The sequence below is a fragment of the Homo sapiens genome, chromosome 3, assembly GCF_000001405.40.
Source record: "Homo sapiens chromosome 3, GRCh38.p14 Primary Assembly".
Classification (NCBI taxonomy): Eukaryota; Metazoa; Chordata; class Mammalia; order Primates; family Hominidae; genus Homo; species Homo sapiens.
Window position 1 is genome coordinate 109,461,971 of NC_000003.12, and position 22,853 is coordinate 109,484,823.

Sequence of the window (22,853 nt, forward strand, 5' to 3'; positions counted from 1 at the left end):
AATCTTTATTTTATTTATTTATGTTTTTTGAGACAGGGTCTCACTCTGTTGCCCAGGCTGAAGTGCAGTGGCATGATCATGGCTTCACAGCTCACTACAGCCTTGACCACCTGGGCTCAAGAAATCCTCCCACCTCAGCCTCCTGAGTGGCTGGGAATACAGGTGCATGCCACCGCCATGCCTGGCTAATTTTTGTGTGTTTTTGTAGAGACAGGATTTTGCTATTTTACCCAGCCTGGTCTTGAACTCTTGGGCTCAAGTGATCTGCCCACCTTGACCTCCCAAAGTGTTGGGATTACAGGCTTGAGCCACTGTGCCTGGCCTAAATCTTTAATCTTTAAAAAATTTCTTTTGACATGGAACTCATTAGTTAGAACTAAAGATTTGAGTAGATTTAGGTCCATCATTTTTGGTTTGGCTCTGTGTCCCCACCCAAATGTCATGTTGAATTGTAATCCCCACATGTTAGGGGAGGGGCCTGGTGGGAGGTGATTGGATCATGGGGGCGGATTTCCCCCTTGCTGGTCTTGTGATAGTGAGTGAATTTTCACAAGATCTAATCATTTAAACATGTGTAGTACCTCCCCCTTCTCTTTCTCTCTCCTGCTGCCATATAAGACATGCCTTGCTTCCCCTTCACCTTCTACCACAATTGTAAGTTTCCTGAAGCCTCAGCCATGCAGAACTGTGAATCAATTAAACCTCTTTTCTTTATAAATTACCCAGTCTCAGGCAGTTCTTTATAGCAGTGTGAAAACAGACTATTCATAAGTGACACTTCATAAATGGTCTTGGATGACACTTCACAAGTGGTCTTGGATGCTGCCTGTGTTTCATGTCATGAAGCATATATTTTTGGTAGCCCTAATTTAATGATGCAAAGATTAATCATTGAAATTCACATGGTGACACTGTTTCTCTCATATATAAGTTCACTGTGGAACTTTCATTTATTTTTTTCACCAGCTGTTTTTTTAAGCTATAAACATTTTGTAGAGAAGTTTCATTCTTTAGTTATATCCCTTTGGTTATCCAAAATAAACTTCACAAAAAAGGTTAGATAATTTCTCAATTCTTTCCCTAAAGTTCTACCTTAGAAAGAGTGTTTGGGGTCTCAGTTACTGCCAGTGGTGACCAGTGTTCTGCCTTTCTCTCTCATACACATTAAAAACTCATGTGTTTTTATATATTCATGTGTATGAACCAGTACAGTTATTATCAAACTGTTTTTCAATGGCGATAATAATGAGCTGCTCTGGGATTTGAGAAAAGAATGATATGGATTTCAAGAAAATAGGAAATTACTAGGTAGAAGAAGTTAAAACTCTGCATACAAAAATGCTGAGATGGAACTGAGGGAATTGGTCATCTCTCTTTATCACCAATAGAACTGCACTGAGACTCTCTATACGATCAAAGGTGATGTTTAAGCTCCAGGTAATGCCTAGTTGCTTTCACAGGTGATTTAATGCAACATAGATAAATCATAAGAGAAACACAACATTGTCCTTTGGGGTTGATTCTGAGGAAGAAATAGGGAATACAATAAAGATAGTGAAGGGAAAGCTGAAATGCTATATACTAAAAAAATGGGGATTAAAGTTCTGCTCAGGTATTCTACCACCCACTACAGTCTAGTACAAAATTCCATTTCCAAATGAAATGATTCATATACAGGCCACTAGAGTAATGAAGAATACTTCCTTTGACTAATACAACATAGACCATTGGATCCTAGACATCATATTCTGAATTTCTCATTTCACCAATGTGGAAACTGAGTCTACAAGATATTGTTAATAATAATTCACACAATAAAAGGACAATTTTCCTGAAAAATTATCTCTACTAGATTTTTCCCATCAGCATAAAAGGTGCTGTTATTTCTCTTTTCTTAAAACACATACACATACCTTTTAGTTCTAGTTCTCCCCATAGGTTTATAGATAAACTGGAAATAGTTCCTGGGTTCTGACGTCCTAATTCTATACGTAATATTTCATTTTACTTCACCACTTGTCTGTCTAATGCAAACCTCAAACTTAACATGGCCATAACAGAACTCTTAATCTTTCTCCCCAGTCTTCACGTCCATCTCTTCACACTCTAGTGACAACATCATTCTTGCAGTTGCTTAGACCAGATACATTTGGGTTATCCTTGGCTCTTTCTCACTTGATATCTTTTCCACTGGGCAACCCTGCACTATGTACCTTTCCAATATTCTAGAAACGTTTTGCCACCTTTGCTATAACCATCCTGGTCTGAGCCACCATCATTTCTCACTGCAATTGAAAAGCCTGTTAACACATTCTCTCTATCCATTACAGTCTAGTCTCAACACAGCTGTCAGTGATCTTTACAAAAGTCATATTCTTTCACTGCTTTTGCTCAAGAGTCTCTAATGACCTTTTACCTCACACTGAGTAAAAGGCAAAGTCATTATAATGATCTACAAGGCCCTGTTTTATCTGACTCTTGTTACTTTTCTGACCTCATCTGCTTCTCTCCCCATCTAATTACTGTCCTTTGGTCACACTTACCTCCCTGCTTATCCTAGACTGCTTGCTCCTTCTTCTTACACACATTCACTCCTCTATCTCTGGTTCTTTTTCTCCAAATACCTGGTTGGATGTCTTCCGTACTTCTCTTGTCCTCGTCCATCCACTACTCAGTGAAGCCCTACCTGATTGCTCTGTTTAAAATCTTCATCCCTATCACCTATCAATAGTTAGCTCTCTCTTCTACTTTAGTTTTTTTCCATTAAATTTATCATCTTCTGCTACATAAAACTCAAAAAAATGAAATCAGTAATCAACTGAAAAAAATCCACTGATATGGCAGCTTTATGTGATTAAATAAAGAATTTGTTTACTTGCTGTATTTCCCACTGGAATGTAAACTCTATACTTCTCATTAGTGACTGGTATAAAATAAGCATTCAATAACTGTTGGCTGAATTAAATACCTAGGAAAACATTAACCAAAGGAGGTGAAAGATCTCTACAAGGAAAACTACAAAACACTGATGAAAGAAATCATAGATGACACAAACAAATAGAAAAAATCCCATGCTTATGAACTGGAAGCATCAATATCATTAAAGTGACAATAGTGCCCAGTGCAATCTACAGATTCAATGCAATCCTTAGAAAATTACTAATGTCCCAAATTGACAAATGGGATCTAATTAAACTAAAGAGCTTTTGCACAGCAAAAGAAACCACCATCAGAGTGAACAGGCAACCTACAGAATGGGAGAAAATTTTCACAACCTACTCATCTGACAAAGGGCTAATATCCAGAATCTACAATGAACTCAAACAAATTTACAAGAAAAAAACAAATAACCCCATGAAAAAGTGGGCAAAGGATATGAACAGACACTTCTCAAAAGAAGACATTTATGCAGCCAAAAAACACATGAAAAAATGCTCATCATCACTGGCCATCAGAGAAATGCAAATCAACACCACAATGAGATACCATCTCACACCAGTTAGAATGGCAATCATTAAAAAGTCAGGAAACAACAGGTGCTGGAGAGGATGTGGAGAAATAGGAACACTTTTACACTGTTGGTGGGACTGTAAACTAGTTCAACCATTGTGGAAGTCAGTGTGGCGATTCCTCAGGGACTAGAACTGGAAATACCATTTGACCCACCCATCCCATTACTGGGTATATACCCAAAGGATTGTAAATGATGCTGCTATAAAGACACATGCACATGTATGTTTATTGCAGCACTATTCATAATAGAAAAGACTTGGAACCAACCCAAATGTCCAACAATGATAGACTGGATTAAGAAAACGTGGCACATATACACCATGGAATACTATGCAGCCATGAAAAATGATGAGTTCATGTCCTTTGTAGGGACATGGATGAAGCTGGAAACCATCATTCTCAGCAAACTATCACGAGGACAAAAAACCAAACACCACGTTCTTACTCATAGGTGGAAATTGAACAATGAGAACACATGGACACAGGAAGGGGAACATCACACACTGGGGCCTGTTGTGGGGTGGGGGGAGGGGGAGGGATAGCATTAGGAGATATACCTAATGTTAAATGATGAGTTAATGGGTGCAGTACACCAACGTGGCACATGTATACATATGTAACAAACCTGCACATTGTGCACATGTACCCTAAAACTTAAAGTATAATTAAAAAAAAATAAAGTTACTAACATCATTCTTCATAGAATTAGAGAAAATTATTCTAAAGTTTATATGAAACCAAAAAAGGGCCAGAATAGCAAAAGCAGTACTAAGCAAAAAGAATAAAGCCAGAGACATCACGTTACCTGACTTCAGATTATACTACAAGGCCGTAGTTACTAAAACAGCATGGTACTATTCAAAAATAGACACATAGATCAATGAAACAGAACAGAGAACCTGGAAATAAAGCCACGTATCTACAACCAGCTGATTTTTCACAATGTCAACAAAAATAAACAGTTACAAAAGGACACCCTATTCAATAAATGGTGCTGGGAAGATTGGCAGAAGAATAAAACTGGACCCCTATCTCTCACCATATACAAAAATTAATTCAAGATGGATTAAAGATCTAAATATAAGATCTGAAACTATAAAAATTCTAGAAGAAAACCTAGGAAAAATTCCTAGACATTGGCCTGTGCAAAGAATTTATGACAAAGATTCCCAAAACAAATGCAACAAAAACAGAAAGAGAAACGGAATTTAAAAAGCTTCTGCACAGCAAAATAAATAACCAATAGAGTAAACAGACAACCTGCAGAATTGGGGAAAATATTTGCAAATTATGCCTCTGACAAAGGACTAATATGCAGAGTCTACAAGGAACTCAGTTAGCAACAAGAACAAAAAACAACAAAACCAATAATCCCCTTAAGAAAGAGCAAAGGATGAGAATAGACATTTCTCAAAAGAAGACATACAAATGTCCAACAGACATATGAAAAAATACTCGACATTAATCATCAGAGAAATGTAAATTAGAACCACAATGAGATATCATCTCACATCAGTCAGAATGGCTATTATTAAAAAGTGAAAAACAACAGATGTTGGCATGGATGCAGAAAACAGTGAAACCTTATACACTGTTAATGAGAATGTAAATTAGTACAACATCTGTGAAAAACAGGATGGCAATTTCTCAAAGAACTAAATATAGAACTGCCATTTGACCTAGCAGTGCCTCTGGATATCTACCCAAAAAAAGAAGTTATTATATAAAAAAACACCTGCACTTTTATGTTTACTGTGGTGCTATTCACAACAGCAAAGTCATGGAATCAACCTAAGATCTATCAACATATGATTGGATAAGGAAATGTAATATATATATATATATATATATACATACACCATGAAATACCATATGGTTGTAAAAAAGAATGAAATCATGGTCTTTGCAGCAACATGGATGGAGCTAGAGGCCATTATCCTAAGTGAATTAATATGGAAACAGAAGATCAAACACCGCATGTTCTCACTTTTAAGTGAGAGCTAAACAGTGGGCACACAAGGAAACAAAGATGGAAATAATAGATACTGGGGACTCCAAAAATGGGAGAGGTTGAGAGTGGGGGCGAGGGTTAAAAGATTGTACTTATTACAATGTGTACTATTTGGGTGAGGGGTATACTGGAAGCCCAAACCTCATCATTATGCAATATATCCGTGTAACAAATTTGCACATGTACCCCTCAATCCAAATTAAAAAAAAATCAAAAGCCAAATTATTGGCTAAACGGCTGAATGAATAAATGGCCAATCTGGAGACTTCTATCATGTAGAAAAGAAAGAAAATAAATTCAGTAGTAAAGCTGGACATAATTCATATTGAGACTTTTTGATAAATGATTTGAATACCTTGGAAAGAAGAGATTCTTGTCCTGAAGTAACCTATTTTATTTTCTTCAAGACTATGGCATCTTTCTCATTATCTGACTTTTAAAGAATTAATTCTCCAAAGTTTATGGGTTTAGATGTCAGTGAGGGATGGATTTCAGATGTCAGGGCAGAGTGCTGGTTCGCTTATTAAATCCATTCATTTCTTGTTCCATTGCAATAGAGCCCTGATTTTAAACAGTGAGGCAAAATGTACAGCTAAGACACCAAATTTTATAGCTATTGATAACTAGACTTGGCCAATGAAATATAAGTGGAAGATGTTTCCAAGAGCTCTTTAAATCAAGCTACCTTGGCTGGAGACACTCTGTTTGCATTTCTCCTCCCTTCCCCCTTTTTTCCAATCTAAAGTTCAACAAATATTTCCAGGAGTTTCAGTAATCCTACTGAATTAGGATGTAACTTGAGGATGAAAGCCTTTTCTCAAGTGGCAGAATACAAAGATGAAATAAATATGGTCTAATGATTGATGTCACAGAGCTGCCATTCACATTCTGGACTGTCTACATCTGGACATGTCTTATATGCAAAAAAAAGCCATATATTTTTCTCAGCTACTGTTTTTGATTTTTGTTTTGAGACAGGGTCTCACTCTGTAACACAGGCCGGAGTGCAGTGGCATAATCACGGCTCACTGTGGCCTTGACCTCCCCAGGCTCAGGTGATCCTCCTGCTTCAGTCTCCTGAGTAGTTGGCACTACAGGTGCATACCACCACACTCAGTGATATGGTTTGGCTGTGTCCCCACCCAAATTTCATCTTGAATTGTAGTTCCCACAATCCTCAAGTGTCGTGGGAGGGACCCTGTTGGAGGTAATTGAATCATGCGGGTGGGTTTACCCATGCTGTTCTCATGATAGTCAATAAGTCTCATGAGATCTGATGATTTTATAAAGGGCAGTTCCCCTGCACATGCTCTCTTGCCTGCCTCTGTGTAAGATGTGCCTGTCTTCTTTTTTTGCCTAACACTATGATTGTGAGGTCTCCCCAGCCATGTGGAACTGTAAGTCTATTAAACCTCTTTTTCTTTATAAATTACCCAGTCTTGGGTATTCTTTCATAGTATGAAAATGGACCCAAGTGGTCAATTTTCTGATTGACCAAGTACTGGTCAAGTGGGATGCTGCTGTAAAGATACACAACAATGTGGAAATGACTTTGGAACTGGGTAACAGGCAGAGGTTGGAGCAATTTGGAGGGCTTAGTAGAAGATAGGAAAATGTGGGAAAGTTTGGAACTTTCTAGAGGCTTGGAGGACTCAGAAGACAGGAAGATGTGGGAAAGTATGGAACTTCCTAGAGACTTGTTGGGTGGCTTTTACCAAAATGCAGATAGTGATATGAATAATAAAGTCCAGGCTAAGTGGTCTCAGATGAAGATGAAGAACTTGTTGGGAACTGGAGTAAAGGTCACTCTTGCTATGCAAAGAAACTGGTGTCATTTTGCCCTTGCCCTAGAGATCTGTGGAACTTTGAACTTGAGAGAGATGATTTGGCGTATCTGGTGGAAGAAATGTCTAAGCAGCAAAGTGTTCAAGAGGAAGCAGAACATAAAAGTTTGAAAAATTTGCAGCCTGACGATGCAGTAGAAAAGAAAAACCCATTTTCTGGGGAGAAGTTCAAGCTGGTAGCAGAAATTTTCATAAGTAATGAGGAGCCAATTGCTAATCACCAAGACAATGGGGAAAATGTCTGCAGGACATATCAGAGAACTTTGTGGCAGTCCCTCCCATTACAGGCCCAGAGGCCTAGGAGGAAAAAAGGGTTTCCTGGGCTGGGTCTGGGGCCCCCCCTGCTACATGCAGCCTCAGGACTTGGTGCCCTGTGTCCCAGCTGCTTTAGCTGTGGCTAAAAGGGGCCAAGGTACTGCTCAGGCTGTGGCTTTGGAGGGTGCAAGCCCCAAGCCTTGACAGCTTCCACATGGTACTGGTCCTGTGGGTGGGCAGAAGACAAGAATTGAGGTTTGGGAACCTCCACCTAGATTTCAGAGGATGTATAGAAATGCCTGGATCTCGAGGCAGAAATTGTTTGCAGGGGCAGTACGAACCTGGAGGACCTCTGCTAGGACAGTGCAGAAGGGAAATGTGGGGTGGGAGCCCCCAAACAGAGTCCCCACTGGGGCACTGCCTAGTGGAGCTGTGAGAAGAGGGTGACTGTTCTCCAGACCCCAAAATGATAGATCCACCCACAGCTTGCACTGTGCACCTGGAAAAGCTGCAAACACTCAATGGCAGCCCATGAAAGCAGCCAGGAGGGGGACTGTGCCCTGCAAAGCTACAGGGGTGGAGCTGCCCATGACCATAGAAACCTACCTCTTGCATCAGTATGACCTGGATGTGAAACATGGAGTCAAAGGAGATCATTTTGGAGCTTTAAGATTTGACTGCTCCTCTGGATTTCAGACTTGCGTGGGGCCTGTAGCTTCTTTGTTTTTGCCAATTTCTCCCACTTGGAATGGTTGTATTTACCCAATGTTTGTACCCCCATTGTTATCTAGGAAGTAACTAACTTGCTGTTGATTTTTCAGGCTCATAGGTGGAAGACATTTGCCTTGTCTCAGATGAGACTTTGGGTTGTGGACTTTTGAGTTAATGCTGAAATGGGAAGGGCCAGGGGTAGAATGATGTGGTTTGGCTGTGTCCCCACCCAAATCTCATTTTGAATTGTAGCTCCCATAATCCCCACATGTTGTGGGAGGGACCTGGTTGGAGGTAACTGAATCATGAGGGCAGGTTTTTCCATGCTATTCTTATGATACTGAATAAGTCTCATGATATCTGATAGTTTTATGAAAGGCAGTTCCCCTGCACACACTCTCTTGCCTGCTGCCATGTAAGACGTGCCTTTCCTACTCCTTTGCCTTCCACCATGATCATGAGGCCTTCCCAGCCATGTCGAACTGTGGGTGTATTAAACCTCTTTTTCTTTATAAATTATCCACCCTTGGGTATTTCCTGATAGCAGTATGCAAATGGACTAATACACCTGCCTATTTTTTTTTTTGTATTTTTTGTAGAGATGGGGTTTCTCCATGTTGCCCAGGCTGGTCTGGAACTCCTGGGCTCGGTGATCGGCCTGCCTTGGCCTCCCAAAGTGCTAGGATTACAGGAGTGAACCACCATTGGTTTAATATGTTTATTGTCTTTTTTTTCTTTTTCTTTTTTTAATAGTGTGAGGCAGCTCTGTTACTCATAGCTGCTTGCAGCTCTTTATTTTTTATTTTTAAATTTTTTTGTTATTTAGTTTTTATTTCATAATCATAAACTTAACTCTGCAATCCAGCTAGGCCTGGAAGGGAACAAGGAAAACAGGGAACAAAAAGGGAACTGAAGCGAGAGCACAAAGATTCTAGGATACTTTGAGCAAATGGGGTGGAGGGGTGTTTGCCTGAGCTACAGAAAGAATGGGCTGGTGGTTAAGATGAAACACAAATCAAACTTATTAGAGTTGTCCACAGTCTGCAATAGTGATCTTCTTGCTGGTCTTGCCATTTCTGGACCCAAAGCGCTCCATGGCTTCCACAATATTCTTGCCTTCTTTTACCTTGCTGAAGACCATGTACTTGCCATCCAGCCACTCAGTCTTGCCAGTGCAGATGAAAAACTGGGAACCATTGGTGTTGGGTCCACCAGTTTCCATGGACAAGATGCCACGACCTGTATGCTTTAGGATGACGTTCTTGTCATCAAATTTCTCCCCACAGATGGATTTGCCACCAGTGCCATTATGGCGTGTGAACTTGCCACACTGACACATAAACCCTGGAATAATTCTGTGAAAGCAGGAACCCTTATAACCAAATCCTTTCTCTCCAGTGCACAAAGGTTTTCTGCTGTCTTTGGAATCTTGCAGACAAGATTCCAAAGGAGACGTGACCCAAGGGCTCACCATCAACAGCGATGTCAAAGAACATGGTGAGGTTGACCGTGGCTGATAGTATGGGGCTCCCAGTGGTGGTGGCGTCTGCAAAGCCTGCAGTTCTTAACAAAAAGAATGGTGTTGTCATGTTAACAAGAAAATTCAAAAGGTATACCTAATAGAAAATATGAAACATTTAGAAGAAATTCTGCCTTACCTATTTTTGTACATAAGTCATACCTAATACTAAAATATCTCAAGAAAATGGTTGGAGAAACTCCTAATTACAGATAAGTTTCTAACTTACATATGAAAAGATCAATTTATGGCATAGCTTCTATTCTTTTTCTTTTCACAGCTTTATTGATGTATGTTTTATATAGCATAAAATTCATCCATTTTAAGTGTACAATTCAATTTAGTATATTCACAGAGTTGTGCCACCATTTCCAATTTAATTTTAGAACTTTTTTTTTTTGAGATGGAGTTTCGCTCTTGTTGCCCAGGCTGGAGTGCAATGGCGTGATCTTGGCTCACTACAACCTCTGCCTCCTTGGTTAAAGCGATTCTCCTGCCTCAGCCTCCTGAGTAGCTGGGATTACAGGCATGTACCACCATGCCTGGCTAATTTTGTATTTTTAGTAGAGATGGGGTTTCTCCAACACTCTAAAGATAAACCTTATACCCTTTACAAACCTATTTTCCATTTCTCACCCTTACCTTTAAACCCTTTGCCTCCAGCCCTGGACCTAGCCATAGCTCCTGACGAGGACTAATTTACTTTTGGTCTGTATGGATTTGCCTATTCTGGACATTTTACATACACAAGTCCATATCATATGTAGTATTTTTGTGTCTGACTTCTTTTTCTTAGAATGTGTTTTCAAGGTTTATCCATGTAGAATGTAACAATACTTCACTTTTTATGGCCAAATAATATTCCACCGTATGGATGTATGACATTTTGTTTGCCTATTCACCTGCTGATGGGTGCTTAGGTTGTTTCTGCATTTTGGCTATTATGAATAATGCTTCTGTGATTGTTCATGCATAAGTCTCTGTGTGGACAAGTGCTTTCATTTCTCTTGGGAGTTTTCATTTCTCTTAGGAGTGGATTTGCTGGTCACATGGTTTAACATTTTGTTTATGTTTAACATTTTGAAAAATTGCCAAATTGTTTTCCAAAATGGCTTCGCTGTTTTACAATCTCAACAGCAATGTATGAGGGTTCCCATTTTCTACATTCTCTACACTTGTTATTATTTCTCTCTGTCTTTTTTTTGTAAATAGTCATCCTAGGGAGATTGAAATGTAATCCCACTGTGGTTTTGATTTGCATTTATCTAATGACTAATGATATTGAGCATCTTTTCATGTGTTTATTGGCCATTTATGTATCTTCTTTGGAGAAATGTTTATTTAATCCCTTTGCTCATTTTTAAAATTGGGTTATTTATTTTCCTATTGTTGAGTTGCATTTTTCTATATTCTAGATGATTGCTTTATCAGATATATGATTTAGAAGTATATTCTTTGGTTCTGTGGGTTGTCTTTTCAATTTTTTTTCTGTCCCAACTTTTATTTTAAGTCCAAGGGGGTATATGTGCAGATCTGTTACATGGGTAAATTGTGTGTCATGGGGGTTTAGTGTACAGATAATTTTGTCACCCAAGTAATCAGCATAATACCCGATAATTGGTTTTTCAGTCTTCTGCCTCCTCCCACACTCCACCCTCAAATACGCCCTGGTGTCTATTGTTCCCTTCTTTGTGCCCATGTGTACTCAATGTTTACCTCCTACTCATAAATGAGAATATATGGTATTTTGGTTCCTGTTCCTGCAATTATTCACTTAAGATTACAGCCTCCATCTCCATCTATGTTGCTGAGAAAGCCATGATCTCATTTTTATAGCTACGTAGTATTCCATGGTGTATATATACCACATTTTCTTTATCTAGTCTGCTGTTGATGGGCATCTAGGTGGATTCCATGTCTTTGCTATTGTGAGTAATGCAGTGAACATATGCATGCATTTGTCTTTATGGTAGAACAATTTATATTCCTTTGGGTGTATACCCAATAATGGAATTGCTGGGTCAAATGGTACTTCTATTTTAAGTTATTTTAAAAATCCCCAGACTGCTTTCCACAGTGGCTGAACTAATTTACATTCCCACCAGCAGTATATAAGCATACCCTTTTCTCCTAGGATCTTTATAGTTTTAGGTTTCACATTTAAGTCTTCAATCCATTTTGAGTTGATTTTTGTATATGGTGAAAGGTAGGGGTCCAGTTTCAATCTTCTGCATATTCTTAGCCAATTATCCCAGCAGCATTTATTAAATAGGGAGTTGTTTCCCAATTGCTTTTGTTGACTTTATCCAAGATCAGATAGTTTTAGGTGTGTGGCCTTATTTCTGGGTTTTCTAGTCTGTTCCATTGGTCTATGTGTCTATTTTTGTACCAGTGTAACATACTGTTTTAGTTACTGTAGCCTTGTAGTATAATTTGAAGTTGGGTAGTGTGATGCCTCTGGCTTTATTTTTTTTTCTTAGGATTGCTTTGGCTATTCAGGCTCTTTTTTGGTTGCAAATGAATGTTAGAATTTTTTTTACCCTAATTCTGTGAACATGTCATTGGTAGTTTGATAAAAATAGCATTGAATCCGTAAATAGTTTTGGGCAGTATGGCCATTTTAACAACATTGATTCTCCTATACATGAGTATGTAATGTTTTTCCATTTGTTGGTGTAATCTCTGATTTTTTTAAGCAGTGTTTTGTAATTTCCATTGTAGAGATCTTTCACCTCTCTGGTTAGCTGTATTGCTAGATGCTTTATTCTTTTGTGGCTACTGTGAATGGGATTGCATTCTTTTTTTGTTTTTTGAGATGGAGTCCCCCTCTGTCACCCACGCTGGAGTGCAGTGGTGCAGTCTTGGCTCACTGCAACCTCTGACTCCTGGGTTCAAGCGATTCTCTAGCCTCAGCCTCCCAAGCAGCTGGGATTACAGGCAGACCACCAAACCCAGCTAATTTGTTTGTATTTTTAGCAGAGATGGGGTTTCGCCATGTTGGCCAGGCTGGTCTCTAGCTCCTGACCTCAGGTGATCCACCCGCCTCAGCCTCCCAAAGTGCTGGGAATACAGGCATGAGCCACCATGCCTGGCCAGGGATTGCATTCTTGATTTAGCTCTCAGCTTGGATGTTATTGATTGGCATACAGAAATGCTACTGATTTTTGTACATTGATTTTATATCTTAAAATTTACTGAAGTTGGTTATAAGATCTAGAAGCCTGTGGGCAGAGACCATCAGGTTTTCTAGGTATAGTATCATATTGTTTGACTTCCTCTGTTCCTATTTGGATGCTTTTTTTTTTTTCTTTGATGGGATTTCACTCTTGTTGCCCAGGCTAGAATGCAGTGGCATGATCTCGGCTCACCGCAATCTCTACCCACCAGGTTCAAGAGATTCTCCTGCCTCAGCCTCCCAAGTAGCTGGGATTACAGGCACCCACCACCACACCTGGATAATTTTTGTACTTTTAGTAGAGGTGGGGTTTCACCATGTTGACCAGCTGGTCTCAAACTCCAGACCTCAGGTGATCCACCTGCCTCGGCCTCCCAAAGTTCTGGGATTACAGGCGTGAGCCACTGCGCCCAGCCTGGATGCCTTTTATTTCTTTATCTTGCCTGATTGCTCTGACTAGGACTTCTTTTCTTCTCTTTTTACATTTTTTTATTAAAAAAAAATAGAGACAAGATCTCACTATGTTGCCCAGGCTGGTCTCAAACTCCTGAGCTCAAGTGATCTTCCTGCCTCAGCCTCCCAAAGTGTTGGGATTACAGGCATGGGCCACTGTCACTGGCCAGGAGTTCCTCTTTTCAGTTTTGTATGCACAAAAGTTCTACATCTTAATGAAGCTTAATTTATCTATATATTTTTTGTTTCATGTGCTTTTGGTGTTTTATCTAAGAAATCAGCCATTGCCTAATCCAATGTCTCAAAGATTTACTCCTATGTTTTCCTTTAGGTGTTTTATAATTTTACCTCTTACACTTAGATCTATTAGCCATTTTGAATTAATATTTGTGTATATTGTGAGGCAGAGATGTCCAGACTCATTCTTTTTCATGTGGATATCCAGTTGTCTGAACATCATTTTTTAAAATACTCTTTTTTTCCCACTGAATTGTTTTTATATCCTTGTCAAAAATCAATTGACAATAAATGTGAGAGTTTATGTATGGACTCCTAATCCTATTCCATTGATTTATATTCTGTTTCTTTGTCAGTATTGCACTGTCTTGATTACTGTAGCTTTATATTGTGCAAAAGTGATTGCGGTTTTTGCCATTATTTTCAATTGTAAAACCTGCAATTACTTTTGCATCAACCGAATAGTAGATTTGGAAATCAGGAAGTGTGTCTTCCAGCTTTTTTATTTTTCGATATTCTTTTGGCTATTCTTGATCCCTCGCATTCCCATATAAATTTTAGTGACAGCTTGTCAATTTTTGAATTAAAAAACAGTTGGAATTTTGATAGATATTTTGTTGAATTTGTAGATTAATTTGGGGAGTATTGCTATCTTAACAATTTAAGTTTTCTGATTCATGAATATGACATGTCTATTTATGTAGTTCTTGTTTAGTTTCTTTCAACAGTATTTGTAGTGCTCAGTGTACAAGGCCTGAGATTTTTTTTTTGGCTAAAATTCTCCTAGGTATTTTATTTGCTGCTAATATAAATGGGATCATTTTTAAGTTTCATTTTCAGATTGTTCATTACTTGTAGATAGAAATACAATCGATTTTTGTATATTGACCTTGTATCCTGGCAAGTTTTTGAGCTCATTTATTAGTTCTACAAGTTTTAAAATCTGATTCCTTAGAGTTTTCTATATACAAATATAGATAGCTTGCAAATAAAGATAGTTTCATATTTCTTTTTAAATCTTTTTTCTTGCACAGTTGCTTTCCTAAAGCCTCAAGAACAGTGTGGATTAAAGTGGTGAGTGCAGACATCCTTATCTTGTTCCTGTTCTTAGAGAAATGGCACTCAGTTTTTCTTCATTAAGCATGATATTAGCTGTGGTTTTCCATAGATACCCCTAATCAGACTGAGAAAATTCCTTTTTATTTCTAATTTTTTAAAAGTGTTTTTATCATGAAAATATGTTGGATTTTTTCAACTGTGTTTTCTTTTTTCTTTTCTTTTTTTTCTCGAGACAGGGTCTTGTTCTGTCACCTAGGTTGGAGTGCAGTGGCTTGATCATGACTCACCGCAGCCTCAACGCCCGAGTAAAGTTGGAACTTTAGGCAAATGCCACTATGTCTGGTTAATTTTTGAATTTTTTTGTAGAGTCAGGGTCTTGCCGTGGTTGCCCAGGCTGGTCTCGAACTCCTGGGCTCAAGCTGTGTACTGACTTTGGCCTCCCAAAGTGCTGGGATTATAGGCATGAGCCACTGCACCCAGCTCAACTGCTTTTTCTATGTCTTTTGAGAAAATCCTGGTTTTTATTTTCTATTTTTCTACTAATATGGTATATTACATTGATTGATTTTTGTAGCCTAAACCACTAACCTTATTCCTGGGATAAATCCACCTTGATCATGATGTATAATTCTTTTATATTTTGCTGAATATTGCTTGCTAGTATTTTGTTAATAATTTTTGTGTCTATATTTATAAGGGGTATTGGTTCATTGCTTTCATAATCCTTTTTGTAAAACATCATTTTTTTTTTTCTTTATGAGACAGGGTCTCCCTTCCTCACCCAGGCTGAAGTGCAGTGGTGCGACTTTGGCTCATTGCAACCTGCGCCTCCTGGGTTCAAGTGATTCTCTTGCTTCAGCCTCCAGCGTGGCTGGGACTACAGGTGTGTGCCACCACACCTGGCTAATTTTTGCATTTTTAGTAGAGATGGGTTTTTGCCATGTTGACGAGGCTGGTCTTAAACTCCTGGCCTCAAGTGATCTGTCCGCCTTGTCCTCTCAAAGTGTTGGGATTACAGGAGTGAGCCACTGTGCCCGGTGGAAAAAATTAAAAAAACTCTTTGAAAAAATTTCAGACTTAAAAGGACATAGAATCCCCGTACACTTTTCATGCAGCTCCATCAAATGTTAGCGCCTAAACATACTTGCTTTAGCATTATCTATCTGTCTGTCTGTCTATCTATCTATCTATCTATCTATCTATCTATCTATCTATCTATCTAATTTATGTGTGTGTGTGATTTTTTTTTTGAATTTTTTTTTCTCAAATCACAATTTGAGCCAATTTGGACACCTTTAATGTTCCGGATATGCCCAGCTGTCTTCCACATTGGGAACATCTATTTATATAGGCATCTTTTTCTGAAGATCTTTCACTTCCTATTTTCAAGAAGTAACCTCTTCTCATCCTCCCAGTTTCAGTCAGTGATACCTCATCAGTGTAATCTTCCAATACCCCACCTGTGTAAGGCCCACCATTCTTTTCTGTCCCTGCACCCTGATGATTTCCCCTATGAAGATTTTTGCAATTTGAAAATCTGTATTTATTTATTAGTTACCTTAATTGTTCTTTGTTTTTCTCACTGGTTTATAAACTCTGAGAGGAGGGTGTCATGTTTCTTCTATGCACCATGGCATAATCAATGTTTAGCACAGTGCCTTGCATGCAGTAATTATTCAAGAGATATTTATTGAAGAATAAATTAATAAAATATGGAATAAATGCTTAGATAACTAGTATATGTTTTCAGGGCTTGATTTTTCTGTGAGTTGATTCAAGCAGTATATGTTTCTCTCTGGAAGGAGAGTGAAAAACCAATTAAATGTTATTCAGTATAGTTTGAGATGCTTTTAAATTAAATATTAGATGCCAGTACTGCTGTAGTTTGGATCTTTGTCCCTTCCAAATCTCATGCTGAAATTTGATCCCCAGTGTTAGAATTGATGCCTAATGGGGGTGTTTGGGTCATGGGAGCAGATCCCTTATGAATGGCTTGATGCTGTAGTAGTGGTAATGAGCATGCTGTCATTCTGTTAGTTTCCCCAAGAGCTGATTGTTAAAGAGTGTGGCACCTCCCTCCTCTCTTTTGCTTCCTCTCTCACCATGCAGTCTCTGCACACATGGGCTCCTCTTCACTTTCTGCCATGAGTGGAAGCAGCCTGTGGCCCTTACCAGATGCAGATGCTCAATCTTGAACTTTCCCAGCCATGAAAATCATGACCCAAATAAACCTGTTTTCTTTCAAATTATTCGGTCTCAGGTATTTCTTTATAACAACCCTAAATAGACTTAGACAATGACTTATTTCACTTTGAAAGAAATCAAAATAGGGAGTAAGAATTTGTTTACAATTGAAATAATACAAAAAGGATAATTGTGATTTAAAATTTGGGGAAGTAAGGAAATAATATATACCAAAACTAAGATATTTAAAGTTACTATAGAAAAAATGCAAATAAATGAGTAAACAAAGAAAAGAAATAAAACCAAAACCAAAAGCCCTCTATAAACAAGAGGGGATGGGGGAGGGGTGCATTTTGTTCCTCTAAACTTAGTATCTACCTTTAAGGAAAACATATTTACTAAAGATTTTTCAGGGCCTATATTAAGGATTCGATAATATCGACAAAGAATGGCAAATATGTTTATTTTGTTTTGGTCTGTTGATTATTTTAGCAGGTATGATTTTTAGAAAATTGTGAGTCACTTTGAGGTAGGCAGTTAGAGGCCTGGGTACCAACTGGTATTTAACAGAAACAGAACGACATACAGGAGGAAAAGTTATTCTTTAGTATAGCTTAAGGTTAAAGTAGAGTTGGAATATATGTAGAAAAGTCCAGTTTACAAAGCCAAAAATGACGACTGTGGTGCCATAAGCATTGAATATCTGACAAAAAGAAAGCTATTTCAGGGGAAAAATACAAACAAAGTTGAATTTATTCTTTAATATATATGAAACTTAAAAATTTTACAAATACTGTTAAATATAATTGTACATATTCGTTATTTTAACGTTCAAGACTATAATATTTTTGTGTGTTTCTTTATGCAGTAGTACAATTAGTAGCTAAACATCTTGAAATTCTTATGGAAATATTTATTTTCTACTAATAATGCATTCGTTCATTCATTTTATCATATGGGCTTTAGCAATTTTAATTAAATGATTTTGCATGTATTTGAATTAACAATAGTACAATGAATATCATGGTAACGAGTGACTGGATCACTACACAGAGAAAGAATAAACAAAGTCAATATTCCAACTTTAACATGGTGATGTTTCTTTCTCTGTTGGTATTTTCTAAAGACACTGTCTTAAGGGGCAGCATGCTAACTGTTGGGAAATATGGCTTAGCCAAGGGCTGGTTAGCTACAAAGAGCAGAGACCTGAGTTTAAGTGGGCCTGGTGTCATTATGCTGTCACAAGCAGTAGAAGGGGAGGGAGGTCCTCAGAGGAGACAATAAAGACTAAAGACAGACACTCAGACCAGGGAATAAGGGGCCAGTGTCTAAAGTCAGGCGGAGACTGAGTTACTTCTAAACAAGGAATCAATCATGAGGAGATTAGCTGCTTGAACAAAAAAGAGGGAATAAATACAGTAGGAACATTAAAAAGGCCTTGGGGATATTTCCCTTTTAGATTTAGTCTTTTAAGTTGGTGCTGTGACTTCCAAAGAATTATTAAAATTTGAAGGAGTGTGATTTTTTTTCCTGTATGTTTGCACATTTTAAAACTTTCTATAACATTAGGCTGGGCACGGTGGCTCACGCCTATAATCCCAGCACTTTGGGAGGACGAGGCAGGCGGATCATCTGAGGTCAGGAGTTCAAGACCTGCCTGGCCAACATGGTGAAACCACCATCTCCACCTAAAAAAAATGCAAAAATTAGCTGGGCATGGTGGTGGGCACCTGTAATCCCAGCTACTCAGGAAGCTGAGGCAGGAGAATAGCTTGAACCCGGGAGGCAGAGGTTGCAGTGAGCCGAGATGGCACCACTGCACTCTAGCCTGGGCAGCAGAGCAAGACTCCATCTCAAAAAAAAAAAAAAAAAAACTTTCTGTAACGTTAGATGTGAAATTAAGCTAGGCAGTGAACCTTGTAGTTTTGATATTAAATGAAAAATTCTCATTAATTTTTTTTTTGACCCAGGCTGGAGTGCAGTGGCACGATCTTGGCTCACTTGCAACCTCCACCTCCTGGGCTCAGGTGATCCTCTCAACTCAGCACTCCAAGTAGCTGGGACTACAGGCAGGTGCCACCACGCCTGGCTAATATTTTGTATTTTTTGTAGAGACATGGTTTCACCATGTTGCCCAGGCTGGTCTTGAACTCCTGAGCTCAAGCCCACCTCAGGCTCCCAAAGTGCTAAGATTAAAGGCATGAACCATCGCGCCCGGCCTCATTCATTGCATTTGATTATTGCCATTACCTTTAAAAGTTGGCAGTAAACTTGAAGTCCCACCTTTTCTTTTCACTAACTGAGGAATCTTGGACAAATCACTTTACCACTCTCAGCTGCAGTTTCTTCATATGTGAAATGGAATAATGGAGTGAGAAAGAAGGGTGAGTAAATTTGTGTCTAAGGAATAAGACAGTCATTTTAGAGCTGCAGAATACTGTATAAATAGAAAACAGAATTGCCTCATGAATCAATTCTTACATAGTCTGGGTAGCTATTAGGCAAACTAATGTTTTCCATTTGTAAAACTGAGACACTGCCTATTTACACGGTAAGTGTTAGCATTTATGTAACACCTCAGGCTCCCAAAGTGCTAATGTTTACTATCTAGCTCTTCACAGAAAGGTTTGCTGACTACTGATATAATATATATATATATATATATATATATATATATATATATATACACACACACACACACACGTATCTATATGTATTTATATATTATATTTATAAATGTATAAATATGTATTTATATATTTATATATTTATACATTTATATATTTATAAATGTATAAATATGTATGGATATATAGATATGTATAAATAAATATACATTATTGACATATTTTATCAATAGTATATATGTAGACTAATATATACATATACCTACATAGAAAAGATAATAATTACCAATGCTAGTGCCAAGCATTTTACATGTATGTTTATTTAATTGTAATAACATATTTATTAGGTAGTTAAAATTATCTCCTTCCGTAGAGAGGAGGAGGAGGAAACTGAGATCCATGGAGCTTAAGGGACATATCCAAGATTGCATAGCCAATAAGTAGCTGAGTAGTGTCTAAAGTCATGCAGTGTAACCTAAGGTTCCAGCTGGCTTAAATCAAATGGTGGTGCACCTTCATATTGGCCCTGGCTGCATGAGGTCCCAAGTGAAAAGGGGGCTCTAGAGATTCACAGCTTTTCAGCCATGAGTAGGGTTTATTGAAGGAGGAAGGAAAAATACGTTTTGCTTTCCAAGTCATTCAGAAAGGGGTGTGTGTGTGTGTGTGTGTGTGTGCATGCTGGAGAGTGTGCTACAATTCCTCAGAACCCACAGAAGGCATCTTCTGTTTGTTCAAAAGGGAAGGTACATTTCACCAAACTTCCCTGTTGTTGGCATGAGTTTGCACTAATATAATAACATGCAGGTATCCATGATCACATGAAAATTCTGCCTGTTAGTTTATTAATATGACACTGAAAGTGGCAGGGAGTTAACTTTTTTTTAGAATTATGTGTAATTTGGAGAAGCTATATACTTATATTTTAACAGTTAATTTTTAAGTTATCTACCAGCATGTAACATTATGTGTCACCATTTGTTAACTTATACAAAGAGCAAAAATTTACAAACTGAACATCCCCACTGAGTTTGTCCCGAGGATGAACTTTTGATGAAATACAAAAATGTCTTTTACCCCCAAATCCTCCTGCTACAAAACTCCTCACTGTCCAGAGCCTATTGCCAGAGCTAGACTGCCTGGCAGTTGAAGAGGACAAGTGCACAAGGGAACAAATATAGACTCAATTAAAATCCAACCTTGTCCTATCTCTGACAAGGTAAAAAGAAAAAAGCAATGTGAATGGAAAACTGCATTTAGGTAAATTGTAGTAACAACCACACTACATATCCATGAAGCAGGTATCAGTTATAATAGAGAAAAGTACACAAATCATATGCATATAGCTCAATAAATTACCACAAACTAATACATTTATAACCAGCTATCAATAAAAAATTAATAAGCACCCAGAAACCCCTCTAATGTCTCATTCCAATCTAATATTCCTTTCCTCCTCTCTTAAAAGGTATGCTTTATATTCCAAAATTCGCAGTTATCCATGGAAAACTGTGTGTGGCTCTTTCAAAATTCTGTCACTAGATTCATGAACGTTGCACCTGAGAAGAAAAAAGTGAACATTCGTATTTACCATAAAATATATGTGTAGGTATTAAATGAACTAATATTTTGCTAATAGTGCTAAAAGATACTAGGTTACTTTGGATAAGGCTAGTGAAGTTTTATATATTCCTGATAGTGACCCTATTTTTGTTGCACATATTTGTACACCTGTCTTGTTTTGTGCAGCCCATTGCAAAAACAAATTTAAAAACTCTTTGTGAACAAGATCAACTTCGTAAGTGTCCTGTAGGTGGTTAATTGCTCCTTAATTATCAAGACTAATCAATAAGTATATATCTTATAGCAATAATTGCAACTTTAAAAGGATGGTAGTAGCTTTATTACAAATGAAATTGGGGATTGAGGAGATTGGATCTTAAAAACATTGGATCTGTTGATTTATGCTAATTTTTATATAAAGTCATACCCAGTGTGGCTGCTTAAACAAATTCATATTCTTACAATTGGTAAGTTTTTTTCCAATAAAATGATATATCTTGAAATGTGCATGCTTAAAGGGTAAAGTGAAATTAAATATAAGCCATTCCTTGGACAAACATATTTTAGGGTGTTGCATGGGACTTTGTATGTGTGGAGATTGTATCCAGCCAAGAGCAAAATAGCCTTTGAAGCTCATGTTGGGAATCTTAAGTGCAAAATTAATTGACTTCCAAAGCATAAAATGTATATACTATTTGTCATGAAACTTTATTTGATATTCAAATGTTTATTGTATAGTCTCTACTCACCCCCAGGACTGTTCTATTAAGACAACCTTCCTAGGTAGATTTTGTTTTTAATGCCGTTTGTGACAAATACAGTGGTAAATAATCATTGCTGGGGAAGTTATTTGTAGTCTTAGACATGTAATATTTTAAAAATATTTTTGAAGGGTTATGTCTTCATAACTTCAGCTATATCTCAAACTTCAATTTCAACAAGGATAAAGAAAAATCACGTAGAGAAGAAACAAAAGACTACTAAATGATGATGAGCTGTTGAATATTTGGGCGATATAAATTTATGGGAATTTAAAAAATAGGAATAAAAACAACAGCCCAGCTCTTCATGGTTGAATAAACAAGGTGGGAACTGCCACTGCCTCTTTCCAAATTGTATTTTAATCTTTTGCAATTTTTCTACTGTCTCTTCATATAATTAGTGGTCGATAGTTATTAATTTATTTGGCATTTATTATGCCAGTGTTAATTCATGCATAGCTAATATGCCTTAATTGGAATATGGAGGAATTTCTGATATGATGGAGTAATTCTAATGGAGTATTTATTGAGAGAAAATAAATATTATCAAATGGATCCCACTGTAGTTTATTAATTAGTCTTACACTTCATTATACAGAGTGACATTGAAATCTATACTAAATGAAAGAGCAGCAGTTTGAAAATTGGTTAGTATTTATCTTGCTATTTAATACATCTCTTTTGGAAACCACATGTAAGAACAAATTATCCAGCAACCAAGTTATCCTACCAACTATATTTCTATTTTGTGCTTTGTAGACTGGGAATCTTACAAGCTGAGCTATACCTCAGTTAGTGAGGAGATGATGGCTGAAATGAACCCATTAAAAAAAAAAAAATCCTTGTTACCTGATCCCTGCTCCTTCCAGAGCCCATTCCTGTGCACCAGTCACCTGCCTCTTGCTTCTCTTCCTTGTTTGGATTCATCTTTGGCCTTTCTTTTG

General features: G+C 37.7%; 1 long non-coding RNA gene and 1 pseudogene across 1 annotated transcript in view; one reads left to right on the top strand and one right to left on the bottom strand.

Moving 5' to 3' along the window:
- The window catches only part of LINC01205 (long intergenic non-protein coding RNA 1205), an 85,178-nt gene that overhangs the window by 51,981 nt on the left and 10,344 nt on the right, over positions 1-22,853 (top strand). The window contains exon 4 of the long non-coding RNA NR_109841.1: positions 14,753-14,792. This is a non-coding gene — a long non-coding RNA (long intergenic non-protein coding RNA 1205). The remainder of the gene's footprint in view (positions 1-14,752; positions 14,793-22,853) is intronic.
- On the bottom strand, positions 9,150-9,887 carry PPIAP15 (peptidylprolyl isomerase A pseudogene 15; annotated as a pseudogene).